We start from the raw sequence: 26,099 nt of genomic DNA, 5'->3' as shown, positions 1-26,099 counted from the left end.
AAATAAATAAAAAGTTTGAATACATGGCATATTAGTTAAGCACACAGACTCAGATTCCAAACTGCCTCGTTTCGAATTCTAGCTCTGCCACTCTCTAGCTGTGTAAACTCAGGCAATTACTTAGCCTCTATGTACCTCATTTCATGATTTCTAAAATGAAGATAATAATAGTACCCACCTCATAAAGTTGTAAAGATTAAAAGAGTTAATCCATGTAAATCACTGAGAACTAAGCCTGGCACACTCTAAGTGTGTAATCATATTAGTTGTTGTTGTTGTTGCTGCTGATGCTGCTGCTGCAGACGTATCAACAGCATTGATGGGATATACTCATCCACATGCCTAAGCCATCTGTGTCCAGTTTTCATTAACCGCCTTATCTTAAAGAACTTGTAGAAGGATTAAATGAAATAATGCATGGACAATGTTTAACAGCAGCTGGCACATAGAAAATGCTCAATAAATGTTATCTACTATATTCTACAGTGGGAGCCAGTCCAAGGGGCAGAGGATCTGAGAAGTTTGGCCATGGTTACTCCATTTGTCCTCGAAAAGAACCCCAAAACACATGCCCCTCCTTCAATCTCTGCTCCAGCCTGATTGCCTCAGAGAAGGTCCAAAGAGAATCTCTTCTCTTTGGCAAAGGAACACACCACCAATCCTTGGGTAACCATACTACTGGATGAGAAGAGAGGCTTGGATAATCTAAAAATTCTGTAATCTGTGAATAATTCATAAGTGTGTATTTATTATTTGGACTTAACAGACCATCAGAAATCCTCAGTCATAAATTAAATGATGGCACACTCACTCATCTTTATTTTTGCCTGATCCTAAAACCTCCTGATTGGTCAGTAGCCAGAGGATTTCATGAGGTTGAGGATGGGGGATATGGACTTGATAATTCATCCAAGTATAATGGTGCTCCAATGAGAGCAAGAGAAGGCAAGCTTTCATTGCAGATGGACAAATGGAAGTTGGAGTTGAGGAAGAACTTGCCAGAAGACAAGTAGTCATTACTTTCTAAAGGAGCTTGCATTATCTCTTCCATTTAGGGAGGCTTTAAGTAAAAGAAAGACACTTCTTATTCTGCAGTGGCCACCATTTTTGTGGAGACAAGGTGAACCAAAAGACCTTCAGATCTGGAGATCAGAATCTCTTCTTTTAGCCCAAGTGGACCTTTATTTCAAGGGGCACTTGTAAAGAATGGGCAAATTAGGTGGTTTTAACATTAGAAAGTTCTTGTTCAGTGCTCCCTTCGGTTCATTCTGCTCCCTGGAGGGTATTATAAGGCAGACTCCTCAAGATAGTTGATCGCTTAGACTAGACAACATTTTCCAGATGGGGGACTCGGGGATTTTGTGACTGATATTTCCTAGCTCTATGCTCAATCCTGTCTTAATTTTGGAGGGAAGGAGGCATTAAGAGGAGGAAGGAAACATGGGTTCTGGAGCTCCCAGTCTGGTAGAGCATATCCAAATTCATGAGAAAGGCCAGAAGTCTAAAGAGGGCTACTTTTCATACATACTGTCAGATACTGAGGCATGCAATGACTGCTGACAGTGTCCTTTCTGGGACAATGTGCAATTGCAGCTAGTCTGATGGGAAAGGCAAGAAAGGCTCCCTGGAAAGGGTGAGGACAAGCTTTAGGCAAAAGGCGGGCAGGACAGTGTTGATGAGAAGATGTGCATGGAAGCATTTCACACAGTGACAGACAATGAGACAGGGCTAGTGGGTGGACAACAGGTGATCCTGTGGGCCCTTGCAGGAGTGGAGAGGATCATGAGATACTGTGACAGCGGAGAGAGAGGGAGAATGCCGGTTGAGGCACAGCCCTCATAAGCAGGGACAGTGTCGTCCCTGAGACTCTGCTACACAGCTGTGGGCTGGAAGGCAGCCTGTAGGCTCTACATCTGGAGCATCTGCATGCTGGGCTTACAGGTCTCCAGAGGGCCATGCCCTTACTAACCTTGCAGCTGGCTCATGCTTTCTACTCATAGAAAGCAGGTGCAGGCCAGGGTCCAGTGAAGGAAGTTGAGAGGTAGTGGAGTGGCTGCTTACACAACACCTGGGATGTTGAGATGTTGATAATGGAATTGACCTCAGGCCAGTTGGGTGGGTGATTGGGGAGAGCCCAAGTCAGAGCCCTGCCTTCTCAGCCAAGAGAGCCCAGGACGCTGGCCAATTATCCATCAGAACTCACCAGAGAGGAGTCCCACTGGACAAAGGGCCAGAAGGCCCCTGTAAGATGCCTGGGTGGGGCTGGAGCCTGACTCAAAAGCTCCACCCTGGTAACATTCATCCCACTAACCAGCTGGGTGCCTGCACCTCCCTCGCCCCATGTCCCTGCCCTGTGAGGGTTCATTACTATAAATCTGGAACTACAGTGCCCACCTCTTCCAGTGGGCCTACACACACTTTCCCTTGGTGCTGTGCTGCTTCCCCCATCCACCTCCTCCTCCTCTGCTCTTTCATCCCTGGAGTGACCCTTCCACCATACTTCCCAGATCTTCTCCCATTTTTCCTCCACTGTCCTCCAGTTTCCTCCTCTTCCTGACTATCTCCTAAGATCTCTCCCTCATTTTCTTCTCCACCCATGCAGCACTCTCCTTCTCTTCTTCTAAGTCACCCTGAGAATAATAGTCTAAGACCAAGTATTTCTTTCTCCCTCTTTTCCTAGAAATCTCCTCTGATTTGCTTCTCTCTTTCCTTCTCCAATCCGACACCTGGTCTCTACTCTGCCCCAAGGCCTTCAAGATCCTTGTTCTCATTGGCTGACTTTCCCCACCACCCCCTTATAGCCCAAGCCAAGGACTTTGCTTGGTTGAAGGACACATCTCACTCACTTCATTCATCCTTCAGGCCCCAGCAAGGAAGGTCACCCCTCTCCACCCCCACCCCCAGGAATAGCCACATCATCTGCTTCATGTGTCCCCACCCTATCCTACCACAAAGCTTTGCACAATAAACCACCAAGCTTTGATGGCTCCATTACTCAGCACTTAATATGCAGCTGGTATTCTTTTCATTCATTCAAAAAATATTTATTGAGCACCTACTATGTGACAAGCCCTTGGAATATATCCACGAAGAAAACATTTGTACACACTGATGTGCTGCAGGGTTTCCATTTTTGTTCATTATCTGGGTATGTGTCTCTGCTTTTCTCTTAATACTGGAAGCTTGCCAAGAACAAGGGTGAGCTCTCCTATACTCTCTGGCCCTGAACCCTGAGAGCAACCTGCAGGGCCCTGCAGAGGGCATGGGGCAAGATGAGTGTTTGTGTTTTTATGTTATGTACAAACACCAGCTACTGTGTGATACTTATTACTGATGGCCGATGGTGTACAGAAGGGAGTGCAATGGGACAAACGCATCCCTTCCTTTGGGATCAGACACACAGGCTCTGGGTTCCAGTTCTGCTACTAACATGCAACCTGAGCCTTAACCTCCCTAGACCTCAGTGTCCTCATCTATAAAACGAGAATAATAACACCAACCTCAGAGGGCAACTGTAAAAATTAAATGAGTTAATGCATGTTGGACTCTTAAAATAGTATCTAGTGTGGTATAAGATGAACATCAAAAGATTTTATTATTAAGTTTGGAAGAATAGTCATAAAATAGCTTTCTACATGAAACATCTACTACTGACATAACTTTAAAAAAAATAGCCACATACCCCAGAAAAACTCTTGCATAAATGCACCAGAAGACATGAGAAAGGATGTTCATAGCAGCTCTGTTCAATCTACAGAACTCTGGAAACAACCTTGTGGCTATCGAGGTAGAAAGGCAAATAAACTGTGGTATAGCCATGCAATGAGTGCAATCCACAGTGAAAATGAACACAGGACAGCTACAGGAAGCAACATTTAATGAAAGAAACCAGATGCACAAGGATCCATGCAACATGAGTCCATTTATGTGAAGTTCAAAAGCTGGAAAAAGAAACAATATGTCATTGCAAGATGGGTGCATTGGTTCTAAAACTGTAAGAAAAGCAAAGGAATAATTAAACACAAAATGCAAGAGAGGAGTCACCCTAGGCCAGGAAGGAGTAGGGTACAATCAGAACAAGGTACATAGGAAGCTCCTGAAATACACACATGTTCTATTTTTTCCTATAAGTGGTAGGTATTGCTACAGATCTAACCACCTATGCATTTTTTGTGTTGAAATATTTCACAATAAAAATAATTGTTATCTCCACAAAGTTAAAATCTATCCTCTTTACCTTGCCAGAGCCAAGACCATAGAGTGGAGATTCTGCCATCTTCCCTCCCCTCCTCCCTGCCACCTTCCCTCCCCTCCTCCCTTCCCCATGACAAGGTTTTTTCACTCTGAAGAAAACAAGTTGAATGTCCTTTTAGGTCTTCAAAAATTAGCAGCAATTAATTCCTGAAGTTTAATGAAATGGTGTCACATTTGAATTTTTCATATTCTTACATCTTTAAAATTGCTTAGTAAGGACCAGCCATTAGTAATTAGCTTGTGTTTATACATGTTGTTTTTATAAGGAGTTATACTGGTAGAAAAGGTGAAGTGTGGATGAGATGTACTTTGACTCACAGTGCTCCTCAGGACACCCAACCGCTGGTTTACTGGGGACATCACTGCTCAATTGTGAGCAGTGCCCCAAATTCCAGATGAGGGTACAAAGAGCTTCAGAAGTGCTGGCCCAGCAGCCCTGAACTCACAAAGGGACAGCAGGTGCCATACTCTTCTCTGGGGTGACCAGATAGCTCAACACAGTCTGTGACCTCCCACATTTGTCCTGCACAAGGCCACACTCTGAATGTTTTGCACAGATACCCTGAGAGCCCTATTCTCTTCTATTTTTTTCCTCTCCTCTCTTTTCCCATCAATCCTGCTTCTGTTCTCATTCCCTAAGTCTACTCTGCCTGCCTTTGCCCTTGAAGCATAGCAGCTCCAGGGGGCTATAAGCCAGGCCATTTCACTTCTCTTTTCTTCTCCTCAATTTAATGCAAACCTCTGTACTTTACGAGCTAATTTTTCTAGGACCTGCTCTATTGGAGTGGGGGGTGGTTCACTGGGTAAGTAGAACATAGTACAGTCTATCAAAGTATTGCCATATACCAGAGGTATGCAAATAACTAAAACTGATGTTTTCCACCCCGTCCTTCAATTCTTAGCCACGGGGTGCTGCACATCTAACTCATACTCCTTCCCAGCCCCCAAGTAGCCTCACATCGCCGTGTGTCCCTAAATGACCCCTCATGGTTCTAACCATCCCAATCCACTCTGACTCTGCCCGTCTTCCTTAGATGGACTCTCTCACACCCTAAATTCACAGATACTCCCCTGTAAACAACTTTCACTACCCTCTTGAACTTATCCAAAGATTAGGAAGTCAAGGGGTTGTCACAGCTTATAAGTGAGAAGGCAATGCAACTCCTGGCTCCATCACTTACCAGCTGGGAGACTTCGGGCAAGTTATTTAACCTCCCTGACCCTTGGTTTCCTCATCAGTAAAATGGGGATAATGGCACATACTTCATATGATTGATGTGAGAATTAGAGATCATTTACGATATATAATGATGATCACATAGTAGGTGACCAATTAAAAAGAAACATATTCTTATCAAACTAAGATCCATGTTTCTCTACACAGTTCTTTCTAATTCTAATTCTCTATACAGTTTTTCCTAATACAGGGGGAAATGTACTGAAGTGATCCAACCTCCATCTCCTGGGTTCAAGCAATTCTCCTGCCTTAGCCTCCCATGTAGCTGGGAATACAGGCACGTGCCACCATAACGGGCTAATTTTTGTATTTGTAGTAGAGACGGGGTTTCACCATCTCTGGTCTTAAACTCCTCCACTGAGGCTGGTCTTGAACTCCTGACCTCAGGTGATCCACCCCCCTCAGACTCCCAAAGTGCTGGGATTACAGGTATGAGCCACTGCGCCCAGCTGTGATTCAATTTAGCATCACCAATCTGACATTTTATGCTTCCTGGGGTGATATAATAAGAGTTACACAGCATATTTTATGAAGTATTCTGTCCCAACAATGTTTAATTTAAACCTAATCCAGCCTCTAGCCCAGTGCTGTCCAACAGAATTTTATGTGAAAATAAACAATAAATAAAATAAAAATAAATAATAAAGAAGTGTTCTTTATATGCACTGTCTAATAAGGTAGGCACTACTTACAGGTAGCTGCTGAGGACTCAAAATGTGGATAGTGCAACTGAATAACTAGATTTTTAACTTATTTAGTTTTTACTAACTTAAATTTAAGTAGCCACATCTGCCTATTGTCTACCAAATTGGACATCCCAGCTCAAGATTTACTTTCTAATTTATAGAAAATACAAGGGCTAGAGCCACAAATTAAATTATGTAAAATGTAGTTTTAAAATCCTTAGGACAGTTAGGAAAATTGAATCTGAGATGAATAGTAAGTGGTGCTTTGGAATTATTGTTAATTTTCCTGAATAAGAAAATAGTACTCTCCTTATTCTTAAGAAATTCCTGCTGATGTATTTAAGGGTGACATGCCATGCTTTCTGCCACTCAAATAATTGGGCAACTGTGAAAGCAAATATGGTATAATGTTAACTGTTGAATCGGGGTAAACAGGTGGAGCATCAATGCATGTGTGTTGTATTATTCCAATTTTCCTCAATATTTGAAAGCTTTCATCATAAAAAAGATAAAAGACAAATATTTAATAATCTGCTGACTGTTCCCATGGTAGGAAAAGTGAGATGGTTTTCAGCTGCCAACTGAAAAATCTGGAGATGGGGAAATCCAGATTTGTGTTTCAGGAGCACTTTAGCCACAGCTGTGATGGAAATGAGAGATGGTATTTATTAATGCCTCAGCCTTTCCTGAAACCCCTCTCCCCACATCACACTTAACACACAGGTCTCCTCCTCCCAGTTTCTCCCAGCACCTGGCCTCCCTTCTCTTCCCCTCGCCAGGCTCTACTCCTCCTTCTCGTCCTCTCCTCTGCCTTCCCCTTCCCTCCCCAATGCCTGCAGATGAAGGAATGCCCTGCTGGCAAGACACTTTGAAGATGAAACATGCTGACTCCCCCAGAGCCCAAGACTGACATCTTTTACAAAGAAGAGGGTGCAGGCCACTCCCCCATTAAAGCACATTCTGGAGAGGCGTTAGACCCGGCTAACCACCCAAGCCCATAAAGCGCAAATTGCCCCAACATCATCTTCACAGCCAAGCCCCTTCAGAATCTGCGCATAAATAGGGCTGCGGTGCCCTGAGGAGCACATTGGAGTTTCCATCAGGACTCCAGGTCCCCTATCCTGTCCTCTGCAACCCAAACGTCCAGGAGGATCATGACCTGCGGATCAGGATTTGGTGGGCGCGCCTTCAGCTGCATCTCGGCCTGCGGGCCGCGGCCCGGCCGCTGCTGCATCACCGCCGCCCCCTACCGTGGCATCTCCTGCTACCGCGGCCTCACCGGGGGCTTCGGCAGCCACAGCGTGTGCGGAGGCTTTCGGGCCGGCTCCTGCGGACGCAGCTTCGGCTACCGCTCCGGGGGCGTGTGCGGGCCCAGTCCCCCATGCATCACCACCGTGTCGGTCAACGAGAGCCTCCTCACGCCCCTCAACCTGGAGATCGACCCCAACGCGCAGTGCGTGAAGCAGGAGGAGAAGGAGCAGATCAAGTCCCTCAACAGCAGGTTCGCGGCCTTCATCGACAAGGTGGGTGTCCTGGATCACACCCTTCCTGAACCCCCACCACCTACACAGCCAGGGCCGGGCACTAAGGATGGAGTCAGAGGCACAAAGACCTCTGCCTGCCTGAGATCCCAGTCTGATGGGCGAGGCACACAGACACACAGACAGACAGACACATGCACAGACACACACACACAGGCACTCAAGATGCAGACTCAGCTGACAGTTCAGATAGAGGGAGCTTGTGAAGGAAAAGTGTGGCCAGGCTGCTCTGGGGCACAAGCTAGACATCAGGGAGTTGGGGGAGGGGGGCATGTGACCACTGCTGCTGAACTCAGAGGGGTTTGGGCAGCCCCAGGGTGAGAGAGTAGGGTGCACTGACTTCCAGATGACACAGGGGAAGGGCTGGGACAGCTGAGCTCCCTTCCAGATGGCCTGTGACACCCTCTTCCTGGCACCATCCCCAGAAACCTCATCTGTGATCTGAACCTGAGTACTCTGCCTGTGTGGGTTGCTGATCACCTAGTTTCATAGTGAGGGACTGAGCCTCCACTTCTGTTCATCTGCTTGGGTTGGGGGGGGGGGGTCACTCAACTCCCCAGGGAGCAGGCACTGACACCACCCAGCCCTTGCTCCACTCCTGAGTGGGAAATCTAGACACAGATCATGACCAGGAAATCCAGAAATTGTCTGTCTCCCACTGCCCACCTCTACTCAATCTCAGATAAGCTCCAGATTTGGGGGTTCCCATTAAAGCACCTCCCCTGCGAGCCCCCAGAGCTGGCTTTGGGGCACCAGACACCATCTGCCCCACCTTCCCACACCGAATGGCAGGTGCGCTTCCTGGAGCAGCAGAACAAACTGCTGGAGACAAAGCTGCAGTTCTACCAGAACCGCGAGTGTTGCCAGAGCAACCTGGAGCCCCTGTTTGAGGGCTACATCGAGACTCTGCGGCGGGAGGCCGAGTGCGTGGAGGCCGACAGCGGGAGGCTGGCCTCAGAGCTTAACCACGTGCAGGAGGTGCTGGAGGGCTACAAGAAGAAGTGAGTGCGGGCAAGAGGGATGCTGGGCACAGGAATGGGGTTTAGGTTAAATACACTGGATTAGACAATAAGAACTCCCAGGTAGGGTGAGTGGCCATGACCACTAGATTGACCGAGGGTGGCGGGGTCTTTTCCTTTGTGGAATCTTTGCCCAGACACCTGTGTAAGAGGAGGGCTGTGACTCCCATGACCTGTCTCTGTCCCACTTCAGCCTTCTCTCCCTGAACCACATCACCCAGCAGCTCTCCCCTGCGCTGGGTGGGGAGGAAGCCTCTGCAGGGTCCAGGCCTTCTCTCCTGACCCTCAGCCCCTATACTTGTAGCACCTGTCAGATGTGAGCCCAGGGTCTCTCATGAGTGACAGGTCTTGGGCTCTGGGTGTCCCACTGCCTTAGGTTCTAAGTCCTGAGGGTCTGCGGGTCCAGGAGGCCCCATACCTGAGCTGGGATTGATACCAGTGAGGGGAGGCTAGGGCTACAGGCCCTGAGAGTCCACGCTGTCCACTCCCAGGATGGGGCTGGGGGCTGAGTCCTATTTGCCTCCTGGGGGACCTCAGAGCCCCTTTGGGAACAGGACTGGGAGGTCCCAGATGAGCACTCTCCATCCCCAGTTCAAAGTGGATAGAGAATCCCAGACACATCCCACATCCAACTAGAAAGCACTAAGCTAGGCTGCCAGGCCGGGGCTGTGTGGAGGTGTTTCTAGTACTGTCCCCATGGCTGTGATGAAGTGTGATGTGATGGTGGCTCTGCAGAGACCTGCCCTGCCCTGACCTCCCCTCTCTTCCCTCTGCTCTGTCTCAGGTATGAGGAGGAGGTTTCTCTGAGAGCAACAGCTGAGAACGAGTTTGTGGCTCTGAAGAAGGCAAGTGACACAGGATTGAGAAGCACAGATCTGTGGGATCTCAGAATGACAGATTCTTCCTGGGGACACACAGGGGGTCTCAACCTCAGCGTGGGGCACAATGACCTTTCCACAGCAGGCTAGGACTGCCCAGATGCAGGCCTTTGTATTGAGCATCCAGGGCCTTGACAAAGGGCAATGACTTGGGAATATCTACCAGCACCTACCTTGGGCAAGGGGATGGCTGCACTGTCCTCTGTGTGTCCTGCTCTGTTCCAGAGGTTGTGGTCTATTGCTGAGGCCCCTGGAGCCATAGCAGATACAATGTCTCTGCTGAGAGACAGTGCAGTCTGTCTAGCATTTTGGGGAGTCTGACCTTGAGGCAGAGACACAATCCCAGGGTCTAAGGGGGGATGGAGAAGAACCAGGAGCAGCCACTGGGCTCTTGGAGCACTTGTGGGGGACAGGAAAGGGTCAGGGTGTGAGAGCTGGGGGGTCAGTCTGGGCAGGCTTCCTGGAGCAGGAGATGAGAGAAGGGAGAGACAGGAGGGCAAGGAGGGGTGAAAGGCTGGTGAGGCATGGTCAAGGCAAACAGGGTTTGTCATCAGAGGGACAGAGGATGCCAGCTCATCCCAGGAAGGGCAGAAGGGGAGGAAAGGCATGGGAATGGGACACCAGGGACTGCTTTCCCCTGGCTACATGGAATGGATGGGCAGAGAGAGGAGTCTGGGGGCTGGATCACCAGGGTCCTTGAGCTCCAACACTCCCCACCTTTCCAGGATGTGGACTGCGCCTACCTCCGCAAGTCAGACCTGGAGGCCAACGTGGAGGCCCTGATCCAGGAGATCGACTTCCTGAGGCGGCTGTATGAGGAGGTGCGGGCTCAGGGGCCAGACAGAAACCTGGCAGCCAGCAGAGAGGAGAGTTGGGGGTGGGAGTGTTGGACAGGATGTGGGTAGAGGTTGCAGTCCCTGAGGCTGTGTGAGGGGGCAGGGTTGGGGACCAGAGAAAGCCTGAGGAGGTGGAGTCAGGACATGGTGGGTGGGGCTGTATTCTCAACTAAAGTCACTGCCCTCACCTCCTGCAGGAGATCCTCATTCTCCAGTCGCACATCTCAGACACCTCCGTGGTTGTCAAGCTGGACAACAGCCGGGACCTGAACATGGACTGCATCATTGCCGAGATTAAGGCACAGTATGACGACATTGTCACCCGCAGCCGGGCCGAGGCCGAGTCCTGGTACCGCAGCAAGGTGAGTGGCACAGGACACCTGCCTGCTAGACGTGTCAGTGGGAGGGATGTGAGATATCTATTAAATAGGCTTCCTTTTCTGGGGATGCTGGTCCCTAGGGATGAGAAGAGAGGGCTGCCAATCTGAGGTTGGGGTGGCAGGGCAGGACTGCCATGTGTGGCTGCACAGGCTGAGCACTGTACAACCTGCAAAATCATCTGTGGTGTCCTGAATGGATGGGAGGTCCCACCCTGAACCTCATGAGCATCTCTACTTCCCCCAGTGTGAGGAGATGAAGGCCACGGTGATCAGGCACGGGGAGACCCTGCGCCGCACCAAGGAGGAGATCAATGAGCTGAACCGCATGATCCAAAGGCTGACGGCCGAGGTGGAGAATGCCAAGTGCCAGGTATGGGGCATCTGTGCGCAAGGTCAGAGAGACCGAGGGCCTAACCATTGTCACACAGCCTATGTGTGCCCTACCTGGATCTCAGCATTCATTCTCCACCCCCTTTGTCCATGTAGAGTCCCTGGTCGTGGTCTCTCAATGAGTCCCAGGTGATAAAGGCAAGAGGCTCTGTTCTGGGGTGCTCCCAGCTTGGTGGGGAGTGTGGTCTCATTTGGATGAGCATCAGAGAGACCCAGGGACTCTAATCTACCTTGTTCTTTCTGTTCTCTTCAGAACTCCAAGCTGGAGGCCGCGGTGGCCCAGTCTGAGCAGCAGGGTGAGGCGGCCCTCAGTGATGCCCGCTGCAAGCTGGCCGAGCTGGAGGGCGCCCTGCAGAAGGCCAAGCAGGACATGGCCTGCCTGATCAGGGAGTACCAGGAGGTGATGAACTCCAAGCTGGGCCTGGACATCGAGATCGCCACCTACAGGCGCCTGCTGGAGGGCGAGGAGCAGAGGTGGGTCCAACCAAGGGTGGCCCAGAACCACCCTTCCCCATCCCTGGCACAAGCCTACCCTTGGCCTTGGCTGAGCAATGGCCAGGGCTCTGGGGGAAAAAAATATTATTATTCACTTCCGGTGTGGGGAGGGCTGGTGTGTGAGTTTGTCTGAGGCAAGCTGTTCCCTCAGACTCTGTTCTTAATTGACCAGTTGTGGACCCTACCCTATGAACTGGGGAGCTTTTTCAGCCACTCTGGGGCAGTCACTAATGTTGCCTTTTTCTCTTTTGCCCTCAGGCTATGTGAAGGCATTGGGGCTGTGAATGTCTGTGAGTATTTGGGGTCCAGTGTGGACAGATTTACTAACTACCTGTGATGGAGGGCAGAGTTTGGAAAAAGGAGTGTTACTGAGATTGAATATAAAAGAGTGGGCTGGCATCACAACAGGAGGGATTTGGGGTCAGACATCCAAAAGACCCCAGCTCTTGGACTAGATGGACCTAGAATTGTCCACAAAGATGCTTCTGACTTTTCATACCAGAGCTCAGGTCTTGGGCAGGGGCGGTTGTCAGGAAGGCAGGATGGCTTGCCCTTCAGAATTTTGACTCAGCCTTCGGGGTTCACAGGTGTCAGCAGCTCCCGGGGCGGGGTCGTGTGCGGGGACCTCTGCGTGTCAGGCTCCCGGCCAGTGACTGGCAGTGTCTGCAGCGCTCCGTGCAACGGGAACGTGGCGGTGAGCACCGGCCTGTGTGCGCCCTGCGGCCAATTGAACACCACCTGCGGAGGGGGTTCCTGCGGCGTGGGCTCCTGTGGTATCAGCTCCCTGGGTGTGGGGTCTTGCGGCAGCAGCTGCCGGAAATGTTAGGCACCCCAACTCAAGTCCCAGGCCCCAGGCATCTTTCCTGCCCTGCCTTGCTTGGCCCATCCAGTCCAGGCGCCTGGAGCAAGTGCTCAGCTACTTCTCCTGCACTTTGAAAGACCCCTCCCACTCCTGGCCTCACATTTCTCTGTGTGATCCCCCACTTCTGGGCTCTGCCACCCCACAGTGGGAAAGGCCACCCTAGAAAGAAGTCCGCTGGCACCCATAGGAAGGGGCCTCAGGAGCAGGAAGGGCCAGGACCAGAACCTTGCCCACGGCAACTGCCTTCCTGCCTCTCCCCTTCCTCCTCTGCTCTTGATCTGTGTTTCAATAAATTAATGTAGCCAACCTGGGTCTTGTGTGTGTCTCTATTACCCTCCTCAGGGGTCGGGGTTAGGGAGGGTCCCCAAAGTCACATGGAGCAGCAAAAGGCCAAGCCAAGGGTCTCCAGTACAGTTTTCTATCCCCCGCCTCATAGAAGGTTCAGATTTAGCCAAGAGTTGTGCTAGGCCCCTATTTGATGTAACTTTATCCACACAACCCTAATGATACACCTTGCAGATGAAGAAGCCAGAACTCAGAGGCACTCAATAATTGGGGCAGGGTCACCCACTTAGTTGGGTGGTTCATCTGGGGTTTAAGCCCTGTGTGTGTCGCTAGTGCTCATTTCACTAAACTGCAGCTGTCTCTCAGAAAACATCTCATGCATATCTGCAAACTGATGGATCATGAAAATCAGATTCACCAATCACTCAAAGCTTGAGGCAACATCACCCATTGCTTTGGTAGGGAAGACTCATGCCTGAGTAATTTATTGGAATTCTTTAAGAGGTGAATACATGAATATGATTTAAAGTTTCAAAAAGCCTTTGATGTTGGCTTTCTTTTTTTTTTTTTTAAATGGCATCACTCTGGGGTTTTGGAGACCTGCCACAGCTGATACATTTTCCTCAAAGACAGAAAACAGCACATAGCAAGATGATGTGGCATAGAGGGGGGACACGGACTCCAGCCAGACTGCCTGGGCCCCAAGCTGGGCCCTGGTCCTTCCTAGGTGAGTGGGTTGGGCAATGTATTTACCCTCTCTGTGCCTGTTTCCACACCTCCAAAATGAGGATGATAGAAAGGGCAACCACCTCATAAGTTGATGAGTTAAAGGATTTCATATACGTAAAAGGTTTAGATGGTGCATGCCACAAAATTATCACTCTATTTTTTATCATTAGTGTTATTCTTTTGCAGAATGTAAAGTAGAAGTCCCTCTAGGGATCAGGGCCTCTTATGGCCAACCTCTTATTACATTGATATCTGTGATCAGAGATTGCAAGTACAGAGAGAAACCTCCGTGGTTACCAGGGCCATTCAGCTCCTTCATGCATGGAAGTATTAACTTGACACTGACGAGGTAGGGGAAGGGGAAGATGACAGCTCAGCCCCACTATGGGCCAAGGTGACTCCCTGAACATACATCTTTAAGCCGGAGTGAATCTCTAAACTTCCAGTCCAAGGCCCAGAAAATACAGCAGAAATGGGAGTCCCCCACCCCTACCCTTCTGGGCACTAGAAATTATTAAGAATATTAAGAGACCAGAAGTGAGTGGACTGAAAAGAACAAATTCTCCTGTAAAAGCTAGAATCAAACCAAGGTCTCTCAGCCACCCCTGATGGAATTCTGAGAGGGACACAATCCTAGAAAGTTCCAGAATTTGTGATCAATCATTCCAACCAGCCCTGTATGCTGTGACATCACACAGCTCAGAAGCTGGCCCTAGGCCAGGTGCAGTGGCTCACACCTATAATCTCAACACTTTAGGAGGCCAAGGTGAAAAGATCGCTTGAGCCCCAGAGTTAGAGATCAGCCCAGACAATACAGTGAGACTCTATCTCTATAAAATATAAAAATATTAGCTGGGCGACGTGGTGTGCACCTATAGTCCCAGCTACTTAGGGGGCCGAAGCAGGACAGCTTGAGCCCAGGAAGTTGAAGCCGCACAGTGAGCCATGTTTGTGCCACTGCCTCCAGCGTGGGCGACACAGCAAGACCCTGTTTCAAAAAAATAAAAAAACAAGAAGCAGCAGCAGCAGCAGCAGCCCCTGTCAGGAGTCCAGACCTGAGACTCAAGCACCAGCTCCATCCCTCCCTAGTTCAGAAGCCAACTACAACTCCAGTCCTGATGGACTTCTCACCTATTCCAACTTCAGCCTAGCTGGGCCTTAGTGACCTGCCGTATTTCACTCCCTCACTCTCCCTCTAGCTCTGACCCTCTCTTCCTTCCTACTCCGGCCCCACAATCCTCACCTCCCTCTAGGTTCCCATTCCTGCACAGGCTCAGACAGAGGAGCAAGGCGGGAAGGAATCAAACACATAATGCCCCGGGTGCAGAATGGTGAAGAAAATGGAACATCTCACTGTGTGACCTTTAGCAAGTCACCTCCCATCTCTGGGCCTTAGTGTATCTGCTAATGAAATACAATGTTTGGGGCTGGGCGTGGTGGCTCACGCCTGTAATCCCAGCACTTTGGGAGGCCGAGGTGGGCAGATCACCTGAGGTCAGGAGTTTGAGACCAGCGTGACCAATAGGAAGAAACCCCATCTCTACTGAAAATACAAAAAATTAGCCAGGCGTGGTGGTATGTGCCTGTAATTCCAGCTACTTGGGAGGCTGAGACAGGAGAATTGCTTGAGCCTGAGAGGTGGAGGTTGCAGTGAGCCAAGATGGCGCCATTGCATTCCAGCCTGGGCAACAAGAGCGAGACTCTGTCTCAAAAAAAAAAAAAAAAAAAAAAAAATGCTTGGATTAGGTGGCTACTAACATCCCTTACCAATTTAAAGCTCTATTATTCTTTTTTTTTTTTTTTTTTTTTTTTGTGAGACAGTTTCACCCTGTTGCCCAGGCTGGAGTGCGGTGGTGCAGGCTCAGCTCACTGCAACCTCCACCTCACTAGTTCAAGCAATTCTCCTGCCTCAGCCTCCCAAGTAGCTGGAACTACAGGTGCCTGCACCACACCGGGCTAATTTTTGTATTTTTAGTACTGACGGGGTTTCACCTTATTGTCCAGGCTGGTCTCAAACTCCTGACCTTGTGATCCACCCACCTCAGCCTCCCAAAGTGCTGGGATTACAGGCATGAGCCACCGCACCCAGTCAACTCTGTTATTCTTTGGGAGAGGTGGGACAGGATTAGGGGCTAGAGGGAAATGGGGAGTCCAGGTTTCATGCAACTGTGCAGTGTATGCGCATGTTGTTTGTATATTCATTCTGCATTGCTCAATGCCTAGAGGTAACTGCGAGTGGAGCAATATGATTGCATCCAGGTACATGCACATTCCAGGCACCTGTGTGGAAACGTGTGTGTGAGAGAGATGGTGAGGGTTTCTAAATGTGTGATTATACATGGTGGACATGTGTGCATCTATGTGCTGAAAAAGGGAGATTTGTGGGTACATGTGGATGTGAGTGCAGTGTGGGTACATGGGTAGACCCATGTGTGCTGGTGAGGTAGGGGTCACCGATGGGGAGTGGGGCTAAAGTGGGCGTAGTGATGGGCAGATGCTGCTGGGGGTCATACTAGGGAGGTGCCCTCTGGCCAAGGAGCCCTTGCTCTAACCCCTAGGCTTGCCTACTTATTCCTCCTGCCCTATGGTCACTCTCACTCCAGGTGGGGCAGATGGAGTTCAGCCACCCTTGGACTTTGGAGAGCTTTCTTTAAAGGGGCTCAAAACTTGGCCGGGCGCGGTGGCTCACGCCTGTAATCCCAGCACTTTGGGAGGCTGAGGCGGGCGGATCACGAGGTCAGAAGATCGAGACCATCCTGGCTAACACAGAGAAACATCGTCTCTACTAAAAATACAAAAACAAAATTAGCCCATCACGGTGGCAGGCGCCTGTAGTCCCAGCTATCTGGGAGGCTGAGGCGGAAGAATGGTGTGAACCCGGGAGGCGGAGCTTGCAGTGAGCCAAGATTGCGCCACTGCAGTCCAGCCTGGGCGACAGAGCAAGGCTTTGTCTCAAAAAAAAAAAAAATTGTTTCAGGGGGCTCAAAAACCTTCTAAAGAATTCCAGTAAGTGAAATAATAGTTACACTTACATAACTTCCTATGCTTTAAGCACTTTACATGCAGCAATACCTTTTCTCAAACAACCCTCTGATAGTTACTCTATTTTGCAGCTAACCTTTGGCTCAGAGGGACTAAGTAGGGAAGAAAACAAGGAAAAAGAAAGCCAAGCACAGTGGCTCACATCTGTAATCCCAGCACTTTGGGAGGCTGAGGCAGGAGGATTGCTTGAGGCCAAGAGTTTGAGACCAGCCTGGGCAGTATGGTGAGACCCCATCTCTACAAAACTTTTTTTTTAATTAGCAGAGCGTGGAGGCATGTGCCTGTAGTCCCAGCTACTGAGGAGGTTGAGGCAGGAGGATCGCTTCAGCCCAGGAGGTTGAGGCTGCAGTGAGCTATAATCCTGCCACTGCACTCTAGCCTGGGTGATAGAGCAAGACTTCATCACTACAAAAATAAATTTAAAATTAAATAAGAAGGAAAAAAAGAATCTTCACAATTTAGATCTAGAGGAGGGCAGGACTGAGGCCCAGAAACAGGTGAAGAGTTTGGACAAGGTAAGAATAAGACTGGGAACAGGATCAAGGCCCTTCCTTCCTTACTCCAGGCTGGTCTGGTTGATCTCTTACAGCTGAAATCACAGCAGGAAGGACTGCATTTAGACTCCACAAGAGACTTCCAAGGGGTTATGCAGAATGCCACATGCCAATGGTCAAAAACAGGGCCCAATACATCTCAGGACAGGACACACCAACCAGGACCATGCAGCCTCAACCCCATCACATCTACTCTGTGGCAGACCCTGAGGATGGATGAGACCTTCACTGCCCTCCTGGGGCTCAGATAGAGACATGACCACAGCCAAGTTAGCATCTGACATGTTTAAATACAACGGAGTGTGAGGCAGGCATGCAGAGCCAACAGAGGACTCACACCTTATAGTGCCCTTCTGCTGAGAAGCAATGACTGAACTGAGGACAGCCCTCCTCCCTTCAGAAGCCACCCGACTCACAAAGCTTATAAATGGGCTGGGGAATGACTCTCCATAAATGCACTGGGCAGTTTCCTCCCACCCCAGTCTGGAATGTGGCCCATGGCCAGGGGAGCCTCTCAGGGAATTAGTCTCCAAACCACAAACATTGCTTGTGATCCACAGGGCCCTGGCCCAGGAAGAAACTCAAACCTGACCCCAAAGCCCTGGGGATCTTCTGGATTGACATCAGGCAAGTCCAGGTTCGGTATTTGAAAAGGGAAAATGTGAGCAACAGTCCTGAGTGACGCAGGTTGCAGAATGTACATCCTAGATCCTGCCTACAATTCCCACAAAGTTCCCTTGTTGACATGATCATCATAGCAGGAGCTGGAGAAAATTGGGCTTGAATAGCAGAGAATCTCATGATCCCCTAGCAAAATGCAAGGAGCACAGAGCTGGACTAAAGAATCTTGAAAGAATCTTCAGGCAGCTTGTTTGCATTTGCGAGTGTTGGCAGGTCAGTATTTATCAACCAGGGCTGATGTGTGAGCCCAGTGGGGTCATGCCCCCTACCCCTCAGGAGGGTGGCATCCGGCTAGCCAAGTTTCAGTCCCATTCCTCTTGCATGAGACTTTTCTGTTTACACAAGAAGAGGGCCTTTTGGATACCTGTCCTCTGGGCAGGCACCCAGAAGAACACAGCAGACACTCTGGCACTAGAGTGCCTTAAAAAGTAAAGCCCAAGCCTCTGGCCAATGACGCACTTCAGCCCCACCCAGGGACATAGAAAGCAGAAACTATTGTTGCATTGATGATGTAATTTCATGCAATAGAAAGGAATGTGGGCTCACTGTACAGAAGCTTCTCTTGGGTCTGTGTGGCAGGGAAAGAACCCAGAAATCCAGCCTTTATCTAGCCACCCCACTCTATCTTCCGACCACCAAAATCCAATGCCTTGTAAAAACTCGGACCAACTTACACCCTGGATCTGAAGTAGAGACAGAGCTGGAGCCTCCGTCTGATTTCACAGCCCACAATTTCCTCCACCATAGTGTGTTGTTCCTCTGCCCGCCACCAGATCATATTAACACAACTCGGTGGCCCAATTGTGTGTTAAACCAGAACCCAAGCTTGGGCCACCCAATTGTGTTCATCTCTCTCCAGCCCCCATCTGCAAGGGCCACCTGTCTTCAAATGCCCCATCAGGGTGATAGAAGGCACTGGCCCAATCCCCATCTCACCCTTTTCTGTTTCTGCTCGGTTTCCTCGTCTATGGCCCACCTCCCTACCCAGAACCTCATCTCCAGGAATCCTAGAGTGTCTTCCTCACCATCCTGTCCCCTGAACCAAGCACTATGAGGCCATTCAGTAAGTATGTGTAGAGTGAATGGATGGATGGAGAATGGAATTCTCAGCTCTGCTGCCCAGAAGCTATGGGCCCCAGGCTAGACTCTTCTGCATGAATGAACCCTTTCTCTCGCTTTCCCCATGGACTCCGGGCTCCCCATCCTAAAGACTCTGGTTCTATAATATCGAATCATCATATACTTAAGTCACATAGACCCTCACAGCAGGAGGGGAGGAGGTTGCTTCCTGGTACTGTTCTCGCCCTGACCCCTCCACCGCAGCCAGGTTTGTCTGTGCTCTGGGAATGGCCTGGAGAATCCGGGTTTAAACTCCTGGCAGCTCAGACCACTCCACAACTTTTTATTGCAGAGAAGTCCCTGGAAAGAAGGGGTGGGAACAGTTCAGAGGGGCAGGGTTCTTGGTCCAGGTAAGCTGGCCACCTCTACCCAATGGCACCAGCGTCCAGGCCATCTGCACTGGGGATGGTCAGTCATAGTCCTGTAAGCTGTGCTCCAACGCCTCACGTCCCGGTGTGGGAGGCAAAAAGGAAAGATGATGTGGGGTCAGCTCTATGGGAGGGGGCATCTGACACAAGAGGGCTAAGTCTTTAGGGCAGAAGCTGAGGGTTCCTTGTCTTCTCCGGAGGGAGGCGGGAAGGGTTCAACATCTGCGGGAGCTGTGTAGCTAAAGCCCACGGACACAGCCGGGAGAGCCGCAGAGCGCGTAGCCGCCGCCAGGGGCGCTCGTCTCCAGGGCGCCGGAGCCTGCTCGGGGCTGGAGCAGGCAGGCGGAGCCCGGCTGAACGGAGGACGACTGTCCGAGGGAGGAAAGCCCTTCCTCCCCCCACCCCAAGCCCCAGAAGACAGACTTGCAGACATCTCCTCCAGATACACAGACCCTCCTCCCCACCAGGAGACAGATGTACAAACTCCCCGAAAGGAACAGGTAAACAGACCTCTCCCCAGAGAACAGACCACAGGACCCCCTTCCCCACACACGCAAACGCAGTCACCCCCGAGAGAAGAAATAGCCCCCGACAAAAGGAGAGGCACAGAGGGAGCTGTCACAGACACAGGAACAGAAACACAGCCCTTCTGCCTTCTCAAGAGGAGGCACGCCAAGGTGTGGACGGGGAAGGAGGGAATAAGGAGAATAAGATAATAAGATAAGATCCGACCATGCCAGCCTACTGTTTACTTACTGATGCTCCTTGCCCCAAATCCCAGACCAAGCCAGCGGAAAGAAGGAAGCAGGTGAGTCCATCTGTCTACTAGGTTTGGTATTCTGCATTCCCCAGGACACACACTCCTGACCCTCCCAGACAGCAGTCCTTCCACCCTGCAAGCTCCCTGGCGCTCTCTGATCACTCCTGCCTTAAATTCATATAACTCACTTTTGTTGATGACTTTTTGGAGGAAAGAGAAGACCAAAAAAAAAAAAAAAAAAACTACACTTTCTTTGGCCTGACTTGATCTTGGAAGGTGAGACCGTGAGGGAACATTTTAAACCTCTACAGGAGACCCCAGAGCAGGTAGCTCCATAATCTGAAGACTAGTGTGTGTCCCTAAAGCTGTCACTTAACCTCTCTGAAACTTACCCCTCATCTGTAAAATGGGGATAATAGGACCTCCCTGCCAGGGTTTTGTGAGGTGTTAAAGGAGGTGATCAATGCAATATGCCTGTGGCATGGGTGATCAGTTCCCCCTCCCTCCCCTAGCCTGGTGACAGCCCTTGTCTCCTACTGTTGTCTACTGAGTTGAAAGCCAAGCCCCACCTGGTCATGTAACCCCACCTTCCCCAGGCCTGGGGAGAGGGGCAGAGTTGAGAAGAAGGCACTTCACACAGAGACCTTATTCCCACTGGCTAGGCCTTGGTCCCTGCAGCTGTCTCCATGGACAAACCGGCCCCTGGTCTCTGATACTGGGGTGGATGACTATGGGTCACCCCGTCCCAGGTGCCAAAAGTACACATCAGCTAGAACTTTTTGTTCAAAGGGCTGTAAGATGGTGAGAGAAACCTAGCTCTAGAGGAACGAGTTCCTGGATACCTAGGTCATCTCTCTCCACCCTTCCCTGGCTGATGAGCGTGGTGCTGCCCTGTGCCCCTGCACTCCTCACTGCAGCCACATCTGAAGCACTTCCCAGCTGACCCATCATCCACTCTCTTCACCCTCCAGCAGCTTGTGGCAGGCAGCAATCTCAAAGTCCAGGCCCCACTTGACGATCACAGCTCTCAGTACTCACACAGCTGCTACATCACATCCTGCTTAGCTCGCTGCAGGGCAGCCTCCAGCCAAGCCAGCTTGCCCTTGGTGCTGCCAGAGCCACCCTCCTCCTGCAGAGCTGGCGGGTCCTTGACTTCCTCTAGTTCACAGGGCGTAGGGAGCGAAGGGTAGACCAAGGACAGAAGGACATTATTGGCCCTCACTCCTTCCCCCTTAAGGATCCAGACCTTGCTCTGAGGCTGCAGAGCCAATGAGGGATTGGAGATTGTCCATGGTTGCAAGGAGTGAGCACACCTGTTCCAAAACTTGTGTTTGTTTGTCTGTATGGCAAGATGAAAAGAACCTGCCCACCTGTCTACCTTCAGGGTGAAGATTTGAAACCGGCTATCTAGGATGGCTGAGAGAGAGCCTTTTACGTCTAGTATGGAGAAACTCCTAATATGAGCCAGGATCCCAGAAGCATCCAATGCTCTTTGGCATGTAATGCTGTGGTTATTGTTTCCTAAGGAAAACTAGCAAGAAGAATATCCATTCCTCACGGGAACCTAGAGTTTATACTCTTCAGGAGGAAAAATAATAAGACCTTGGTGAAGTGTATTTGCTGCTTGGGGAACCAGAACAGCTGTGGCTGGTGGGACCCTGACCATGATGGCCCACCCACTCACTCTGCCCCCTCAGAACCTCAGCAGCTTATCCCTTCTCAGAGTCACCCATTCCTGTACAAGGGAGATCTCTCTCCATGAATACCCTTCCAAGCCTGAGACACTTGCATCTGCAGAAAGCAAGAAAAGACCGGGAACAGAAGCCCTTCCCTCCATGGAGTGAGACTTGAGCCAGCGGGGGTGTGAGAGGGCTGGGAGGTGGGTGGGTTAAGAGAGGAGGCTAAGAGAGAATGGGAGAAAGAAAACATCCTGGAGGACTAGCTCCTTTCTAAGGCTCACAAATGCAAGTGCTTGCAGAGGCCTAGCTGGAAGCATCAAAAGGTGAAGGCTAAATATACATCAGGAGTACCCAGTTCCACAAATACATCTGCCCTCTCCCATTTCCTGAAATCACCAGCACCTCTTTTATATTTTCAGACTTGCATTTCTCTGGCGACATTGACTCAGCACCTTTTCTCTTCTACAAGGATAATAACTTGCAGCCAGGACAGTGATAAATGGCAAGGGACCCTCTGCCTCACATCCAAAGGATGGGATTGGGAGTGGTGGGGACTGCGGCACACCAGGCAGCCTATACCGCATGTGAAGAAGAGAGAGATGATAGAGGCCTCTCTCCTCTAGCCAAATGTTGCCATTTGAGAATCATAATTTAACATTGCCAGATCTTCACATTTTGAAATAGAACCCAGAAAACTGGGTTTCTAGGTAATATCTTGCAATTTCTGAAGATGGGCTCAAATGTAATACTGAGCGAGAAAAACAAAACACAGACATAAAAATGAACATACACAAGTAAAAAGATAATAATGTACAAACAAGCATATATCTTCATACAGATTTACCTACATGTTCATTACTTACATAAAATACACAATGTCCTAGGCAGAGGTAAGCATGATATATGCATGCAGCTGCACTGCTGTATGCTTAGACATTCACTAAGAGAAAGTGTAGCCATCTAATCCAAAGGGTAGGTGGGGAGGGGCAGTTGTCATAAATAATGGTCACCATCCCACCATGGCCACTCTGTTGCCCCCCACTCCCACCTCTCACCTGACTCTCAGCACTGCCCACCTCCACCGTCAGCCACTGGATGGCCTGATTAAGCCTGTTCAGATCCTCCTTGCTGGGCTTCAGGCTCTGCGTGTGTTTCTGCACAGTTGCCTTTAATTCCTCACACTGTGGAGCAGACGGCAGAGGGGAGCTGTAGTCAGGAGGTGAGGAGGCCAGACAGGGCTGCCCATCCACCTGCTGTCACCAGTGGTCACCTAGCTTCTCTGGGCATCCCTTTCTCCATCTGTGAAATGGGAGTGATCATTTTTCCTATCTCCAAAGGTTGTTGAAAGAACACAGTGAGCTTGCCTTGTGCCCATGGGGCCAGAAGATGCCAAAGGAAGCCTGAACTCAGGCAGGAAGGGCAGCAACACAGGGCAGTGATCTGTTGAGGGGAGCTTTGGGACCAAGATCACATAGGGTTTATCCCAGGAACAGGGAGAGTTAAACTCTAGGAAACTGATTATTGTAGTTTACAACATCTAACCATTTAAATTAGTACAAAAAAAATTAATGAAATTCAATATTTCCTAATTTAAAAAACACATTTTAAAATCTAGGATTAGGAAGAAATGTCCTTAATTTGAATGCCATTAATCAGAAACCAGGGACAGTGATCTAGATTCCAGCTTCTTCCCCAAACCCAAGGCTGCTATGGGAAGTGCTGTCTATGAAATCAGGGGACCACTTCCCTTCTTGCACCTCGCCCCCATGTGCATTCAATACACGAATAGCCAGGGAACAATAACTCACACTTGCACAGTGCCTGATGCTTTTCACAAGCTTTTACTCCACGATCTCACTGGGGCCTCACAACCACCCATGAAGTTGGCCAGATGGATGTGACTTTTCCCATTGTCTTTCCTCAGGCAAACTGGGGCTCATTCCATCCACCACGTGCAAGAGGGGAGTGAGTGACCCTGCCAGCCGACAGTTGAGCCAGACTACATTTTAAGCCCATGCTCTTTGCTCTCCACCAAGGTTATACACACCCCCTCAACCCAGAGAGCAAGAACTGTTCACACCAGCCCATTGCAAACTTTCTTCTAGGGCAGATGGAGTGTGGGGGAACAGACCTCAAAACATCATCTCAATTTCTGCTGTGTTCCCACTGCCCCCAACTTTTCTGCTCCTGTTCCCAAAAGCTGTATGCCCAACAGATCTGGGTGAAGTCCAAGACACCTCATCCCTGTGTGACCAGGGAGCCACGTGTATGAGTCTCACCATGGAGAAAGAACTGTGGTCTCCTCCAAGCCTCTCTTGAGCACCAAAGCCCAGCTTCAGCCCAAGAGCTACCAGAATCCTTGCCACTGAGGACTAGGGCCTCTTCTTCCTGGGGGCTCTGTGACCTCATCTCATTACAATCACAGAGTTCTGCCCAGGAGGCCTCAGGGGCATAGGGTAGAAGAGGGCCATACTCTGACCCCAGGTGGGAAAATGGAAGTTTCTGGGCTGAAGTGGAACTTAAAGGAAAGTGGAGGAGGGGAAGGCTACCTCAGGTGGAGGAAATGTGTGGAGCTGAGGAGCTTAGGCTTATGGATGGGCACTGGGGAGCCACAGAGGGTGTCTGAGCAGGACAGTGGCCTGACATGAGATGTGATTGTCTAGAAGCAGTGCAGAAGATTGACAGGAGGGCAAGAAATTGGGACTGGGGATGCCAGTCCCAAGACTTGGTAGGAAATCTTGGGTAGGGCAATGACTTTAACCTGTAGGAATGAGTAGGGGCTAGAGAGCACAAGCTGTGGTCAGCATTTTCTTTTTGTTTTATAAATTTCTCATATATGCAAAAGAGTATGCAAAACCTACATTTATTGATTTCAATAGCAACAATAATAAAACAAATCCTTGTGTACCCACCAGTACCTTCAAAGCCCCCTGCGGGATTTTTGCTGATCCATCTCCAACCCCATCTGATCCCCAAAGTAACCACTGTCCTGAGTTTTTATATTGGTCATTCCCTTGCTTTTCTTTATTACTATGTCATAACGTGTATCCATAAACTAGTGTTGAGTTTTGCCTACCTTTAAGTTTTATATAAATAGAATTACACCTTGTACATTTCTATGACTTGCTTTTTCCTCCTCAACATACTAGTTTTGAGATTCATCTTTTTGATGCATGTAGTTTTATTTCTCAGTGTTGTATAGTATTCCAAAGTATGACTACATATATATAGATAGATACAGATATAGACACACACATATACATATATCTCTATTTTCCTATAGGTAGCACATGTGTTTTTTGTTTTTGTTGTAACAAACAATGCTGCCATGAACTTTCTTGTACATATCTGCTGGTGGACCTCAACAAGAGGTTCTTTGGGGTACTAGTTGTCAAACTGTTTTTTAACCTCAACTCTAAATAAGAAATATATGTTGTATCATGAATCACTACCTACGTACAAATACACCACATCTACTGAAATAAGTTTCATGGAAAAATCATTTACTTCTACTATGTGTAAGGCAATCTGATCTAACCAATCACCTTAACACATTCTTTTACTTTCAACTTATGTCCTCATGTTTTAAGTTTATTTCTTATAACTAGCATATTACTTTATTATTATAATATAATGAAAATGAAATACTCATGAACCTACTTACTGATCCCAAAACTAAAATCTTACTAGTAATTTACATTTAGCTCCATGCTCCTTCCCTACCCTGTCCTCTCCTAACCACCCCAGAGGTAACCACTTCCCTAAAGTTGATATAATTCCTTTGTTTTTTCTTAGCTTTATCAAATACATGCATATGCCTCAATATATATTTGTTTCAGTTTTTTTGTTCTTTTTTTATAAAAAGTGTGTCACACAGGGTCTTGTTTTATTCAACATTATGTTGCTAGTATTCCTCCATTATAATATTAATATTCCATTCTTATAGTATTCCATTGTGTAACTATACCACACTTTAGGTAATTCTATTACTGTTTTGTTTTGTTTCTTTCTCTTACAAAGGTGGTGCCATGAACATTTTTCTACATGTCCTCCGATGCACATATGTGAGGATTTGTATACAACTACAAACAGAACTTCTGACTCATAGGATGGTCAGAATCTTATAAAGGTGTTAACTTTATAAGATAATATAAAATTATTTTCCAAAGTTGTTATAACAATTCACACTTTGCTCAGCAATGTGAAAAAGATTCGTATCCTCTTTAATGTGTCTTAATTTTCAACAATTAAATAATGCAATCTCATTTTTGGTCTTGCTTTGTATTTTCATGATTACTGTTAAA

General features: G+C 48.9%; 2 protein-coding genes and 1 long non-coding RNA gene across 4 annotated transcripts in view, besides 1 other annotated feature; 2 read left to right on the top strand and 1 right to left on the bottom strand.

The window, feature by feature from the left end:
• The window catches only part of KRT86 (keratin 86), a 34,519-nt gene extending 10,367 nt beyond the window's left edge, over nucleotides 1–24,152 (bottom strand). For both annotated transcript variants that reach the window (XM_005268866.5, NM_001320198.2), the window contains exons 1-2: nucleotides 24,075–24,152; nucleotides 22,851–22,976 (exon numbers count right to left, since the gene is read on the bottom strand). In XM_005268866.5, coding sequence (XP_005268923.1) covers nucleotides 22,851–22,976; nucleotides 24,075–24,077 — 129 coding nt within the window. In that variant the 5' untranslated portion in view covers nucleotides 24,078–24,152. The remainder of the gene's footprint in view (nucleotides 1–22,850; nucleotides 22,977–24,074) is intronic.
• On the top strand, nucleotides 7,263–12,884 carry KRT81 (keratin 81). The gene is made up of 9 exons (NM_002281.4): nucleotides 7,263–7,700; nucleotides 8,511–8,719; nucleotides 9,522–9,582; nucleotides 10,341–10,436; nucleotides 10,649–10,813; nucleotides 11,076–11,201; nucleotides 11,475–11,695; nucleotides 11,975–12,006; nucleotides 12,304–12,884. Exons 1-9 carry the CDS (start codon nucleotides 7,332–7,334, stop codon nucleotides 12,540–12,542), a joined length of 1,518 nt encoding a protein of 505 aa, NP_002272.2. The 5' UTR covers nucleotides 7,263–7,331; the 3' UTR covers nucleotides 12,543–12,884.
• Nucleotides 17,521–18,720: an enhancer, noted in NCBI's record as "MED14-independent group 3 enhancer chr12:52673861-52675060 (GRCh37/hg19 assembly coordinates)". NCBI's record gives its function as "activates an origin of replication core promoter dependent on BRD2, BRD4, P300/CBP and CDK7 cofactors, and independent of MED14, by STARR-seq in HCT116 cells {active_cell/tissue: HCT116}" and the evidence as "EXISTENCE:reporter gene assay evidence [ECO:0000049][PMID:35650434]".
• Nucleotides 19,641–26,060, top strand: KRT86-AS2 (KRT86 antisense RNA 2). Its single transcript, NR_199073.1, has 2 exons — nucleotides 19,641–19,856; nucleotides 23,720–26,060. It is a non-coding gene; the product is annotated as a KRT86 antisense RNA 2 (long non-coding RNA).

Source organism: Homo sapiens, chromosome 12 (genome assembly GCF_000001405.40).
Source record: "Homo sapiens chromosome 12, GRCh38.p14 Primary Assembly".
In the NCBI taxonomy this organism is placed as follows: Eukaryota; Metazoa; Chordata; class Mammalia; order Primates; family Hominidae; genus Homo; species Homo sapiens.
The sequence above is the reverse complement of the archived record's forward strand: the minus strand, read 5'-3'. Positions and strand labels throughout refer to the sequence as shown.